The sequence below is a fragment of the Homo sapiens genome, chromosome 9 (genome assembly GCF_000001405.40).
Source record: "Homo sapiens chromosome 9, GRCh38.p14 Primary Assembly".
In the NCBI taxonomy this organism is placed as follows: Eukaryota; Metazoa; Chordata; class Mammalia; order Primates; family Hominidae; genus Homo; species Homo sapiens.
Window position 1 is genome coordinate 99077272 of NC_000009.12, and position 15998 is coordinate 99093269.

The window sequence follows — 15998 nt, forward strand, 5'->3', positions numbered from 1 at the left end:
AAGGGAATCAACAGTTAATCAGAGCCAATGGCTTCTGTTTCGAAAGAATGATTACAGAAAACAGGAGATAACTTTTAAAGATTCAAATTTGTATTTTCATCCAACTCCACTGGAAACAAGGAAAAGAAAGCAAATTGGTATTCTCAGTAAAATTTCAGAGAGTAAAAGAAGCATGAAATGAAATACTGGGAGAATAAGAAACAGTCCTTGAAAATAAAAGAACGACTGTATCACCAGAATAAAATAGAACTACAGCATATATGCTACTGAAACCTGATTTAATGAATTGTTAGATCAAAAGAATTAATATAATTGCTCAAAGGACACAGACAAAAAGATAAATTCATGAAATAAAAGATGAGGGAAGGAGATAGACATAATGTTTCAATATTTATATAACAGGAGTCACAGAATAAAAGAGAATATTAGATGGAAGAGAAGTACCAGTGAACAAAAGAAGTTTGGTGCGGTGGCTGGAGCCTGTAGTCCCAGCTACTTGGGAGGCTGAGGCAGGAGGATCTCTTAAGCCTGGAAGTTCAAGACCAGCGGAGCAACATAATGAGACACTATCCCCATCAAAATATAAATATAAATAAATAAATAAATAAATGAAAGAAAATTTCCTGAGCTAAAGAAGGAGCATAATCTGTAGATTGAAATGATTCACTGAGTCCTGGGCAGAATTGTTGCAAAATATCCACCTGTGTACATTTCTGGTAAAGTTTATGCATTTCAGTAACGATGTAAAATCCTACACACTTCTATATAGAGAGCAATTCAGATTGGCATTGGAGTTCTTATTTGCAATATTGAAAATTAGAAGACAATGGGGTAAAGTATAAATAATCCCGTGGATTAAGAATTATATTAAAATTTCACAGCCAACCAAACTTTCATGTATGGGAACAAAGAGAGACATTTTCAGAAGTGTCAAAACTCAAAATTATAGCATCCAGGTGCCTTTTCTGAAAAACAGACTTTGTGGAAGGATTATAACCAAATGGAAATTAACCAGGAATTAGTATTTCACAAAGCAGAGGATGTGATGATAGAAATCTAATGAGAAACAAAGTCAAGATCACTTACGGTTATATCCAAATCAATTTTCCCAACGTGTAGTATTTTTACCACATATGGATTGAGATGGTTTTTACTGTAACAGTTATATATTTATTTCAATAGTTGTTAGGAAAATATAGGTAGATACTAAATCCATAATTTCATATTTATTTGTATTTAATATAAAGTAAGTATTTAAGTTTTAAAAAGTGGGCTGGTTGAAAGGAAAGTATTAGGTAAGTAATAGTACAAATGATACATTGTAGTGTAGGTGATAGACAACTGACTGAATTTTCGGAAATGTTGAGCCGAATAATTGTCAATAACGTGGTTGTAAAATACATTCCAGACTTTACCCAACTGTGATGATAAAACAGGTTTGTGTTTCTTCTAAAACTTAAATTACAGGGCTGATGCCCTAGGTACAAAATTAGCACAAAGTCATCTTCTTCTCTCTCAAATATTCTTCAAAAATTATTCCTTCAAATATTCTAGGCTTGCTTCTATTTGCCCAGGAATTAGTTCAGCTCATTGTTTATCTGTGGGTACCTCCTGGGAGAAGGGAATTCCAGGATGTCCCCTGTGGCTAGATTCACTTCCCTGGTGTCAACACTCCATTGGCAGTAACTGCCCAGCTGGTGTTTTGGGGCACTCCGCTGAAGTCATGGTGATCTTGAAGAGATGTTCTGGTGGTCCTGTCCCCCAAACCATGTCAGCTGCCACTGATACAGTTCTCTGCCAATCGATTCCACAGTGCTTTCTTGTAGTTCAAGAATGTTTGCCTCTTCTCACAGCGCTGCGCTTGTTTAAGATGCCCACAGTAAAACTGCCTGGTCTCAGTGTTACAGCTCTTAAATAGCACAGCATTTTCTGTTCATCTATGCACTGTAGTTTTCTTCAAGACATCTCCCCAAGCAGGAGAGAAGCCGGCTTAGAAGTTCTACAATTAATTCTATTCTGTGTTCACCTCAAACATTTCCCGGACTGTGGTGATGAGTGTTTTGGTGTCCCGCAAAGCAGAGCCCGAGACAAGGACTTAGTGCAGGCGATCCCAGGAAGTAGGAGCAAGGAGATAGGGAGAGTAAAACAGAGAAAGAGGAAAAGTCCATCAACAGACACACTGTGAGGTCACTATTGTCAGCAACAAGAGCTCAGTTCCACCAGGACCTCTGAGAAGTATGCAGAATATTTCCCACAAGTGTCTACCCAGTGGAGAGGAGGATGGAGCATTTGTTCATTGGCCAACATTGTGCATTGGTTGAGGGTTGCCCATAGGGTATGAGTTCCTCGGCACTTCTGAGCTGGGCCAGCCTGGAAAGCTTCCTGGCATTAGGAGAAGGCCCTAGCACAGAATGAAGAAAGACAAGAGGTATGAGTATTGAGGTAGAGCACCAGCAGCAGAAGGTGAGTCAGACAGTCTATCACAGGTATGAATGAAATCAGAGATGGGCTAAATGAGTGTGACACAGACACAAGAGGCAACAACTACAATCCCACTTAGCAGTCCAGCCTTCCCACTCCTCATCATCAGTTTCAATCATAGCCCCATCTTCCACATAGTTCTATATTGCTTTTTGGCTCCCGTTAGAGCAACGACAGTAGATATGACATGTTTTAACATATTTGATCCTCTGTCAGCAAGAGAAAAAGCAAAAATGAATTAACCAAAGTGTATAAAACACAGTAAACCTGATAAACTTTAAAAAGAGATAAATTTGGTTATTTGAAAACAAAAAATAAGGAAACCTCTGGCAAGTCTGAGAAGCAGACTTCTGGCAAAAGAGAGAAAAACACACATATAGGAAACTGTAATGAAAAAGCTAGAAACCACTGACACAGAAGATATTTTAAAAATTAAAGGAGACTTATACAGTTTACTAATATGAATTTTAAAATATAGATATAATAGATAATGTGCTATGAAAATGTAATGACAAAAACCAATGCAAAAAAAAATAAAGAAAATGTCTGAATTGCTTACTAAACACAAATGAAATTTAAAAGACTATGGAGGCCGGGCACGGTGGCTCACGCCTGTAATCCCAGCACTTTGGGAGGCCGAGGTGGGTGGATCACGAGGTCCGGAGATCGAGACCATCCTGGCTAACACGGTGAAACCCCGTCTCTACTAAAAATACTAAAAAAAAATAATTAGCTGGACGTGGTGGCGGGCGCCTGTAGACCCAGCTACTCGGGAGGCTGAGGCAGGAGAATGGCGTGAACCTGGGAGGCGGAGCTTGCAGTGAGCAGAGATAGCGCCATTGCACTCCAGCCTGGGTGACAGAGCGAGACTCCGCCTCAAAAAAAAAAAAAAGACTATGGAAAATCTGCTCACCTCCCCAAATTTTGCATTCTTAGATAGTTTCATGGGTGGGACAGAAACAGTTCCTGAAAGAAAGGAGAATGCTACAGAAGAAAGAAATAGTAACAGGAAAGTGAAAATAAATGATGCTCATTGCATTCCACCCTTTGAGTAAAACAGACAATGCCACGTAGACTCTTCCACGTATAGAATTCCAAGAAGGCAAACATAATACAATGCAGTCACCTCGCCCTTAAGGGTTGACAACCAAAGCAACATCCAACTATCACATCCAGTTGCAAGTCAAGGGTCGCTGGGTGAGATACGTTCCATTCAATCAGACCCTGATGCTGGTCAGTTAGTAATTATGTATTGAGGACATAAGAGTACAGAAAAGGACGTGTAACTGTCCTCAAATATCTTATACTCCAACGGGAGGAGATAGATAGTAAACATGCAAACAAATAAATAGATAAGATGAATTCAGGTACTGAAAACTGCCAAAAGAAGGTAAAGGTAATGGAGCGGAATGTGATTGGGAGAGGGATGTGCTGCCTTTGCTCACGTGAAGAGGCCCTTCTGAAGAGATGACAGTTGGGTTGAGATGTTTGTCATTGGTTTATTAAGATGTCTTGATTGAGGTATAAATATGAAATCATTTGATTTCTTGCCATTGCTATCCCAACTATGCTATCCCTATAGCATTGTCCCTCAGAACATAGACCTTTATAGACTCTGGTGAAGTATATGAGTTAAGGTCCATCCAAAAGACAAACAGCACTATCAGTATTTGAAATGGGGCTGGGCACAGTAGCTCACACCTGTAATCCCAGCATGTTGGGGGCTGAAGAGGGGGATCGCTTGAAGCCAGGAGTTCAAGACCAGTCTGGGCAACATTGTGAGACCCGCATCTCTATAAAAAAATTTTAAAATTTTTGTTTAAATTAACTGGGTGTGGAGGCACATGCCTGTAGTCCTAGCTGCTCAGGAGGCTCAGACAGGAGGATTGCTTGAGCACAGGAGCTCAAGGCTGCAATAAGCTATGATGGCACCACTGCACTCCAGCCTGGGTGGCAGAATGAGACCCTGTGTATAAGGGGAAAAAAAAGTATCTGAAACAGACAGAATTTGATGCAGACAACTAGTTACATGGATGATGGAAAAGGTGAGAAACTGAACAGAGGACAGTAAGACTACCCAGATTTTGTCAGAAGAGGGGCAAATGGAGGAGGATGTGTGACCAGAGCCCAGAAACTATGAAAAAAGGGTGAAAGCTGGACCGTGCGAGGCCTAGAGTCATACAAGAGGAAAAACCCACGGCCAGAAACTCCACTGGAGATAGAGAGAGTGGACAACGAATACCTTGATTATCTTCCTTCCTCTTGTTTTCCAGTCCCTCACCTGTGCCTGCCTTTGGCCACATAACCAAAAGTAACTGACCCGGGGAAGCACAGCCTGCAGGGATGAGGTCCCAGCCCCAGTACATAGCAGGCGTGGGAAAGGGTGAGGGCAAACAGGTCCAGGGCAGACACAGGAGGATTCCATAACTTTCTGATTATTAAAAGTCCAGTCTTCTTTAAGGCTTCAATCTCAAACTCCGTTTAAATCTTTTTTCCCTTCTCTTGACCTCACATGGAGCACTCTTGAGCTGGGACATTGACTTCTAGAAAAGAAAGTGGAAAAAGGGTATGATCTGGGTCTCAGATATCCACTCCCCTTCCTTCTTCAAGTCCTAGCCCTTCCTGTGTATTTGAGGTGGGCCAAAGGAGAAGAAACTGGAAAAAAGTCTTACTCACCTGGCCACAGCTGCAGTTCTTTCTGGGTTGGCTGGTACTGCTTCTCTGGCTAATGCTGGCCACTGATACCCTCACTGTGGCAGGCATTCAAATGCTGGTCAGTCCTCTGGAGGATTCATGGGACCAAGCCCAACCACCTTCTTCAAGGTTCCCTGAGCCAGGGCAACTGTAGGGCTATGTATAGGCAGCTCCCCTTCTGCCCCTATTTTCAACTTGAAATAATTCCAGTTATCTCCTACTTAATCAGATAAATCCAAGGGCAGATTAGAAAATAATATCCAACTTGAAGGGAAGAGCATACCCATTGCCCCTTCTTTTAGGGATCTCCTGCTTTATGCCTGGTTCTCTGGAGTCTCCCCAATAGTTAGCTTAGCAGGGAGGAGTCACTTCTCATCACAAACACTGCACTTTCCACAAGACAGATGCTTCCGACACTAACTCCCCTCCTTACCCCTTTACAGGCATCTCATGAAGATTGGGAAGGAGGGCTGCAGGAAGCCTGGTAGGGATAGATCTGGTAAGGATAGCCACCTCCCATGATAAGCCCTGGGAGAGGAATCTGGCGCCATGACAGGCAGCTGTCTTGAGAAGGTGGCATGCTTAGAGCCTCTTTGTTGTCACATCTGGGCTTTAGCTGGAATTCCCAAACAGGAAAAGCCTCATCAAACATCCTGCTGCATTTGAACAATGGAAAGGAGGTGAGCTTGCAAAGATCTAGGGGAAGAGGGTCCCGAGAAGGAGGAACAGCAAAAGTAAAAGCCTTGAACGCAAAGTAGCTTGCTGTGGCTGAGGGGCAGAAGGGCGCTGGTAGAAGCTGGAGCAAGAGTATGCGTGGGAGGAGACAGAAAAATAAGGGAGGATGGGCAGGCAGCTGCGGATACCTAGGCTTTTGTAGACTAAGGTAAGGGGCTTAGATTTTATGTCTGGTTGCTCTGAGAAGCTACTGGATGTAGCTTATATAATTGGACGGATTTTACTTTTTCAAGGCAGCAAATTCTGTAAGTGGATGGATCATTATGACATTTTCCACTGTCAGAAAAAATAAAACCAACATTGACTACTTACACAAAGAGAGTCTGACGAAGGCATATTCACCTCTTCTGGCTAACATTCATTTTATTGTTGAGATGGATACAACGATCTAGAGCTTTGCTCTCCACAGATCTATTAGGTTAATAGTGTATGAACTGATCATTGTTTTGGAAAGACCACTGTGACTGTTCTGTGTGTGGAGTAGACTGTGGCGACAATGCTACAGGCAAGTAGACCAGTTAATAAACTGATGCAGTGATTCAGCTGAGAGATGATCATGTCCTGGGCGCTGGTTGAAACAGTGGATGTGGTGAGAAGTGGGCAGATTTGGGATGAATTTAGGAGGAGGAGCCTTGCTGAAAGGTCTCAGTTATGAAATAATGATTCCTGGGATTTGGACCTGGCTGGCCGACTGCCTGGAGAACAATGCTCCCTCCTGGGATGAAAATGACTCCGTAAAGGCAAGATTCATTTATAGTTGTTGTGCTTTTTTTCTTTATGATTACAGCCCCAGGGTCTATAAGAGTGTCTGCCACCTTGTAGGTACCCCACAAATATGTGCTGAATAAATGCAAAAGCAATTGTTGGATCAGGTAATCATTGAGAAGCCTATACTCATGCTCTTGCCACCTAGGACTAAATGATGCATGTAACCACGCTATACAGATGGTCCCAACTTAGGATGGTTCAAGTTATGATTTTTGACTTTATGATGGTGTAGACCTGACACATATTAAGTAGAAAATATATTTCAAATTTTGAATTTTGACCTTTGCTCAGGCTAGTGATGTGCAGTATGATACTCTCTTGTGATGCTGGGCAGCTGTAGTATGCGCAGCTCTCAGTCAGCCACACAATCACAATGGCAAACCACCATGAAATATTTAATACTTTATTCTAAAATAAGCTTTGTATTAGATGATTTTGCTCAACTGTAGGCTAATGGAAGCATTCTGAGCACATTTAAGGTAGGCTAGGCTAAGCCATGTTAGGTTATGTTAGGTTAGGTATTAAATGCACTTTTGACATGATATATTCAACTTGGCAATGGGTTTATCAGGACATAACCCCAGTGTATGTTGAGGAACACCTATATATGTTTGCAAGATTTCCACTTAAAAAGGAGAAATGGTCCGGGCGCAGTGGCTCACGCCTGTAATCCCAGCACTTTGGGAGGCTGAGGCTGGTGGATCACTTGAAGTCAGGAGTTCAAGACCATCCTGACCAACATGGTGAAACCCCGTTTCTACTAAATACAAAAAATTAGCTGCGCATGGTAGTGCATGCCTGTAATCCCAGCCACTTGGGAGGCTGAGGCAGGAAAATCGCTTGAACCTGGGAGGTGAAGGTTGCAGTGTGCCGAGATTGTGCCATTGCACTCCAGCCTGGGCAACAAGAGCAAAACTCTTTCTCAAAAAATAAAATAAAATAAGGAGAAATGGGGAAGCAATTCCAGTTGCCATCAGTTAGGAACCTATGTCCCATCCTTCTGGATAGGGACAGTACAGACTTACTTTGCTGCCAGAGGAGCAAGTTCTTTCTGCCCTCCTGTGGGTCCTACCCCTTAGAGAACTTGGGGTTATCTAAGGGCAGCAGTAAAATAGCCACCATTCTAGAAGGATTTCTGCTCCTCAGCACAGGCCTAGAGAAGTGTTCATTCTCCAGGGACTCAGCTTCCTGGCCTCAGCTGCCTTGATGCTCTGAGTGATGAGGGAGAGCTGAGTGATGAACACAGGCCTAAGCAGTGTTGCTATCAATGTTGCTTCAAGATGAGGTGCTCCCTCTTTACTCCAGCTCCCTCAGGGATCCCTATTCCTAGTTACAGAATTTGCTTTTGCAATTCTTTAAGGAAAAAGACCATCAAACTCTCTGCAGTCTTGGAATCTTGCTGCAAGTAGAAGGAGCCTTTCTTTTATCTGCCTGCTGTTCCTCTTCTGCTTTCAAACAGCCCAGCTTGGATGGAAACATCCTTTTTGGCCATGCCTCATTAAAGGGCATGAGAAATAGTCAACCCATTTTGACATCTTTTGACTTTAGATCTCTTGAAGCAGCTCCTCACTACCTTGCCTCAGACAGTTCCACATTTCAGGGACCATTACCTACAAGTCCTCATTTGCAGATATCAGTTTCTGTATTATTCAGGTCTCTTTAGTTATGGAACAAAAATCCAAGTAAAATTAGCTTAACTAATAAAGCACAGTTAATGGCTCTTGTAAAAAAAGCCAGATGGGTCTGGAATCTGGATCATTGCATCCAGATAAACAAATAATATTGTCAAGTCTTTCTCCTCCCTTCTCCCATCCCTTTCCTTCCATAACTGGTCTCAACTTTTCTTTGTGCTTGGGCTTCATTTTATCTGACTGCAGATGGCTTCATCTTGGCAAGGGCAGGGCTTAATCTCCTGGCTCATGTTATGTAGCTCAGCTCTGCCAAAGCAAGAAGAGGGGTTCTCTCTTCTCCCCATGCTTTACTGGACATAAGTTCCAGCCGATTATCCCAGCTTTGATCAAAGCTCATTCAAACTGATCAGTTTCCTCATTCAATCTCAGTTGCTGGGGGATGGTCACGCCTAGGTCAGGTGATAGTCTTTGTGGCCAGGTGCTAAGAATCTGTGATTGGCACTCCCACCAGAATCAACCCTGTGGTTGGACTAGGGGAGGAGCAGATATCTAAGGGAAGAAGGGGAGGATGGTTGCCCTCATTAAGAAAGGAGAGAGAAGCTGCTCAGGCAAAGACAACAGATCCCTCTTACGGTGAGTCAGATTTAATGCCAGGACCTAAAAAAAGAGCGAGCATTCAAAGGCTTGTTTTTGTTTTCTTTCCTAACTTAAACAAGAAACGACGAAGTTGGTGGGCAGGAATCGTAATGAGGAAGTGAGCATTTCTTCCTTTGTGGAGAAGTGTACTGAGGCAGGAGGTTGTAAGAGCAGGCCCTACATTTGTTCGCTGGGCTCTTGGAGGCTCTTGGAGAGGGAAGCCATTGCAGGTGATGACTCAGTGTGGTGGATCATGCCTCCCTCAGTTCTGCTCTGTCCAATTCTCCAAAGCCAAATAAATAGGAAGTGTGGCAGACGGATTCTTTTTAGTAGCAGTACACTTGGGCTTATTTTCATGGGCATGAGTCCACGGGAAAGCAATTATTTTCTCTTGTTTCTTTGCTGCATCAGAGAAATGGAGCAATTTTAAAGAGGGATTTCAAAGAAACAATATTGTAATTTACAAAAAATGGGATCATGTAGTGACCGCCAAGTTGGCTGTGCTGAAATATGACTTGTTCTGAACAGCGTCCATTAGAATCTTACCATGCCAGAATCAGAAGGGATCAGAAGAGATCACAGCCAACCCTCTCACACTACACAGAAGGAAACTGAGATCCAAAGAGGAAAATGGAGTGACTTAAAGGACCCAGTGAGTTAGAGGAAGTGCAAAACCTAATACTGAGGTTTTTTAAATCCCTGCACAAGGATCTTTTCATTAACTCATTCAAGGATGCTTAATAAAGTAAATAACGGAGTGTCTGCTATAGATTTGCTTCTAAATGTCCTTGAAAGCAGTTGATTGGAAAATTCCACCTGGTGCTGCAAGTGAAATTGCTAAATGAATTTGATTCTTGCATGCCAAAAATATCTCTACAAAGATATGAATTTGTCTTGGTTTAAACACTGCGAGCAACTGGATTCAGACATCAAGGTCATGGCTTTGCTCATAGCACCTTTGCCTTCCAGTGGCCTTTCTGGTCTCTGAATTCCATGGTCTGAAGTTTGTCTTACCGAGGAGACTACTTGACCATGTTTTTGTCATCTCTGGTACCTTCCCGGTTTCCCATCTTGATGGTCAGGCTATGCTGCTCAAGTCTGATCCCCGTGGACCTTCCTCATCACAGCAAGGCTGTGTGGAGCCATTTTCTCCTCCACACCCCCCTTGCTCTGTGCCTTGCAACCTGGGCTGTCTGGACTATAACTCTGCAGGTTGCAGTTGGGTTCAGTCAACTGACCAGACGTGGAAAAGAAGAAGGCGAGGGTGAGGTTGAGGTGCTTATTGCCCGGTTCCCTCTTTGTGGGATTTCCAAGGGCTGGCTGCATCCCTCCATTAAAAACCTCAGCTCCCACCAAGTGGCTCCTCCCATCACAGGACTCCCTCTCCTGGTATCAGTAGCTCTCCGTCCACTTACCTGTTCAGGCCTGGGCAGGTAACAGCACCTGGTGTTACTCATGCTTTGATGAGCCCTTTGGGGTTCTGCATTATCTCTTGTGGTTTCCCCATACCCTGCCATCCCTTTTAAAAATAATTCCTTTATTAAACTCACCTCAAGTTACCCCATTTAAGTGTGCCACCTGTTCATCTGGGACTCTGACTGATATACTACCTGACTCCAACCTGAGACTCCATCTCCCCCAAGTCTCTGGAACATATTCTGTCCCAAGAGGGAGAATCTTTGGAGACTACTTTCAGGAGTCACTGCGTCTGCAAGTTCCTTGAACCTGAACTCCTAAGTCTGAATTGCAAATTCTCACCTTCCTCCTGAGAACAAGCCCCCAAGAACTTACAGTAGAACCTCTCACATGGAGATGGCATGAGGCCAGGAAATCAGGACCTTGAGTGAGGAGGCTGCAGAGCTGTGCTGGCTGTCTGGGATGACATTAGGTATCTCATATAGCAGAGGGGCAAGAAGAGGGGGTCTGGGGATCTTGAGAGAGAGCCCACTCTGGCAACGTTGGAAGCCAGAGTGTTCCTTACCTTTGGGCTGATGAGAACTAGGGGGAGGCATTTGTGTCCCTGCTTAGGCCAGAGCACTAGGAGGGGAGCGCCTGCTAGGGCCCAGCATGATGATGGCAGTGAGACTCTGCTAACTGGACTGAGAGAGCCCTCGGGGAAGGTAAAGCACAGTACTCTCCTCTCAGCATTAATGACTACCCCGCCCCCTGCAAATAGCCCACTGGTTCAAACTCCTACACCCCGTAGCTGAGCCATCCCATGGGTCTCTTAAGCTCCAAGTCCCTGTTCTGACAATCGCAAGCTATTCAATAATAGCCAGTGTCTTCTTTATTTCTATCCCTCATTGTGCTAGACACAAAATATGTTAGCTTAAGAGTAGTTTACAGTCACTTACAACCTGCCTGCTACAGACTGCCACCTGAGCCCAAAACTGTGTGGGATGGCAGTGTCACAGAAGAGATAGTTGCAAAGTTGCCCAAAGTGTTCATATTATCTCACATTTTTTCAAAGTGCTTCACGGTTTGTCATTTTCTCATGTATTATATATCAGTTAATTCTCACAATAAATCTGTTATACATATGTATATATACGTGTGTGCCTATTATGTATAATATACATATTTAACATATATAACATTTTTGTATCTCTCTATATAATGTGTCAGAAGTACAAGGCTTCAAGAAAGAAAATGACTTACCCAAGGTAATATAACAACTCAGAATGAATCGCCTCTTTAGATTTCATGTGAGCTCATTGTGCAATATATTCGTTCTGATTATGTCTACCTTCCACTTGAGTCTGTGAGCTCGTTAAACATAGAGTCCATGGCTTATATTTTTTGTCCTACATTCCAACAAATGTGTGCATGTGTATATGTGTGTATACAATGCATCTTTAATGTTTACTGAATACCAAAACAACTAGTCATGTATCCACCAATTAGATTAGGAAATAGAATTTTACTAGTACTGTCCGAGGCTTCTCTGTGCCCCTTCCCTATATCTTAACCTCTAACCACTATTCTGAATTTCATCTTTATTATATGAATGTATCTATATTATTTAATTGTGTATGTAGCTTAAGTTTAAATAAATGGGTAAATGGTTTATTTATCCTTACCACCATCCTCTGTCCCCACACACCCTCCATGTACACACACAGTGTCCTACATACAGTAGGTCCTTGGCCTGGCCGGGCTCTAGCATGACCAGAAAGCAACTGACTTCCCACCATCATTTCCAAGGGCTTGAAGAAGTCTGGTCAAAGTTTGGCATTGGGTTCTGGGGAGAAAAAATCATGGGAACACAGCATCTTGGAACACCTAGCTACAATGCACGCATGCTGCTACTCCAGTGGAGTCCTTTTGTAATTGTTCAACAGGTTCTTCTTGCCTGCTGCACAGATAAAGCCAGTTCATGGAGAGTGCATTATTGCAGTAAAGGTTTTCATGGATAATTTTGTGGGCAGGGGTCTAGGGAATGGGTGCTGCTGATTGGTTGGGGTTGAAATCCTAGGGTAATGAAAAACAATCCTCATGCATGGAATCCTTCTCTGGGTGGGGGCCATAGGACCAGTTTACTCATGAGTCACAGGTCAAGGAGGGATCAGTTGGTTGCCAGAATGAAAAAGTCTAAAAATCATCTCAAAACACCAATTTTAGTTTCTGCAATAGGGATGTTACCTATAGGAGCAAGTTTGGAAGTCACATATCTTGTGACTTCTGGCCTCATGACTCCTGAGCAGTAAGGGATTGTAGAAGCTACACCTACATTTTAGCAGAATTCAGGCCCCTCCCATAATCCTAATCTCATGGCCTTTCATTTGTTTTACAAAAGTGGCTTTGGTCCCTGAGCAAGGAGGAGGTTAGTTTTAGGGAGGAAGGATTATCATTCTTTGTTTCCAAGTTAAACTAGAAATCAATTATTCCCATGGTTAGCTTGCCCTGGGTGTACCCAGGAATGAGTGAGAACAGCCAGGTTGTGAGGCTAGAAGCAAGATGGAGTTGGCCATGCTAGACTTCTCTTGCTGTCATGATTTTTACAAAGGCAGTTTTACTTTGTAGCCACAAGTCACATAGATTCAGGGGGAAGTCCTAGTGACTGCCTTACTTGTGGAGCTCAAAAATCTTTTCTTTCTGGCCCTTGCTTCTGAGTCGCTGGTGACAAGCACCCCCAACCCCCTCACCCTTAATGATCTACCATTAACCTAATTTCCATTTCCTTACACATTTCCCTGTCAAATTCTTGGAGAGTTTATGCCACATTTTAACAATCATTTCAACAATGCAAGCGGTTTGTGCAAGTCTTAAGAATGACATTTTTCAAACTGTAGGTCATGACCCATTAATGAGTTGTAAAGCCAACTTAGTGGGTTCAGACCAGGATTTTTAAAAAAATGAAATAGAACTGGGCATTACCTCATCAAGCACCCAGGATTACAAAAAGATCAGAATATGCTCCCAGTAGCAAGGTAGCAAGGCGTAAGTGTTATTTTGTGAAAAATGTGTGTGTGTGTGTGTGTCCCAGATCACAGTGTAAAGTGTATTTCTTTCTATAAATTATGTTCAAAAATGTTTTTAAGCCACTCCTCAAGAGGCACCTTGCCAGGGACATTGGTTGCTTGCTCATCTTCCCCCTATTCCACCTCTCCCTATGGTAGAATAATTCTGTGGTTTGGATGGGCTGTAGGAGTGGCCATGAACAGCCTGAACCAATTACCGTAATTTCAACCCAGTTGCTACCAGGATCGGTTCAGAGGTGGTCAGCAATCCAATGCCTAGACCAACTAGGACATGTCATTCCCTGGCTACAGTCAAGGGACACATGACCCAATTAATCCAGGGATCCATCTTCCAGGAAATCCAACCACATCCTTTGATGGGCCTGGAAATCTTACAAAGACGTGCTTTGGAGAGGCCCTGTCTTGTCTGAAACACAAAAAAGCTATTCACTGTCCACCCCACCCCACCCTCAGACCAGAGCCTGCTGGGGAGGGAGAAGAAAAGACCAAAAAACAAACAAATAAGACACAGGATAATTTTAAGTGACACCATTAATAACCTACTTATAAAAGTCATGGTTTTGCTACCTTAAAGAGAGCTTTGTAGGTGACCACAGGTCCTTGTCAAGCGCTGGGTTCCCTCAAGGAGTAGTTTACACATGGAAAAGACTGGGCACTTAGGAGGCTGAATGCCTAAGGAAACAGATTTGAGAATCATTGGCACGTCCATGCCAGGGAAGGCCAGGGGCACATTTGAGGCTGTCCAGGGAGAGGTTCTAGCCAAAGGGAGAAGAGCTGGGGCAGACCCTGGGGAGCAATAGTGCCTGGAGTGGATAAAGAAAAAATTGGTCAGAGAGAAGACAGATACCACAGCGCTTGTCCTGCTGCAGTGTGGTGGACACAGATGAAAACAGTGTTCCCTCTTGTTCCCCTCTGTTAGTCTACCAAGACCTGGTCTACACTGGCCTGCCAGACTTCCAGGGCCCTGGCAATGGAGCTCTGGGCAGTGGGAGAAGTGGAGGGAGAAGGCAAACTGGATACACTTTCTAATGGGCAGATGACCTCTTGAAGGAAAGAAGGCATACAGGAAAGAGGATGGGTGGCATAAACCACATTTTGAAAGAAGGTTTAAATGTAAATTCCCTGGCATCATTAAAAATGTTGTTTTCAGCCGGGCATGGTGGCTCACGCCTGTAATTCCAGCACTTTGGGAGGCTGAGGCGGGTGGATCACCTAAGGTCAGGAGTTCGAGGACCAGCCTGGCCAATATGGCGAAACCCTATCTCTACTAAAAATACAAAAATTAGCCGGGCCTGGTGGCGTGTGCCTGTAGTTCCAGCTAGTTGGGAGGCTGAGACAGGAGAATCGCTTGAACCCGGAAGGCGGAGGTTGCAGTGAGCTGAGATCTCGCCACCGCACTCCAGCCTGGGTGAAGGAGTGAGACTCCGTCTCAAAAATAAATAAATAAATAAATAATGTTATTTTCAATAAAAACTTAAGTGACTTTTTGGTGTATGAGGGGAGGAGTTAGACTGTTGTTTCTTTTGATGAAACATTATGATGAGAAGGCTCGGGGTGATCAGCTATACTGGAGTTATTAATACAATGCTAGAGTAGGTAATTAATTGTATGTAGCCATCTCCCTCACTAAACAGTAAGCGCCTAGAAAAAAAAAAGAGTTGAGCTGAGAGCAGGGGATCTAGCAATGCTTGACGGAGGAAGAAGAAAGGATCAGTGGAAAGATCTCCTGCTTTATTTAGTCCAGTCCCTCCAGGGGCACCTGCCCTTCCCACCTAACCCTACGTAGAAGGGCTGGGGGAGGGACAACAGTGCAGCCCCAGGGCCTGTAGAATCGAGAGGCAAGAGCCCACCTCAGAAATAACATGGAGTCCTCTGTAAATGGAACACTAAGATCAGGTGTGGAGCAGAACCTTCCAGGAGCTCAGACACACATTCTATAAGGATGGTGGATTCCCAGCATTTTCTTCTTTCATTTCCCTTAGCTTCACAGTGAAGTTCCTTTGGAAGGTACCTCCTTGTCTCACTATCTTACCAGAAATGAGGAAGGGGTTCTGGTTTCATTCTGGGGCATGAAGGAGGAGTCAGGAGCTGTACTTTGAGGGGCTGGGTATATGACTCTGGGGCAGAGTTGGAGATGCTGGCATGGTCTGCCTCATCTGAGCAGTGCTCAGCATATGCCCAGGCTCTCTGAAATCTCTCCTAAAAATTCATCTTGGCCTCTGCTTTTGCCTTGGGTGAGTTGTTTCCCAGAGTCCCGCTCCTGCAGCCACGTTCCTCCCCAGCTTGGTTCAGCTCAACTCAGCTGTGGTGCCAGGAAGACACTGGGGCTTTTCAAGAAGAAACCCCGCCTTCTTTTCTCAGAATGCAGAGATGGCCGGGGCTCTGGGCCTCTCTGGTCTTTCCTGGAAACACCATATGGCCTAGTTCTGATGGGCTCACATGGAAAATGACATTTGCCTTGGATGTGATGAGTCCACAGAACCTCCCTTCTGGCTCTCGTTTGTTCCAGCATTTCTGAGCTGACCCCCCTGCCACCCTACCCCTGGTGTTGAGCACTGGAGACATAGCAGGC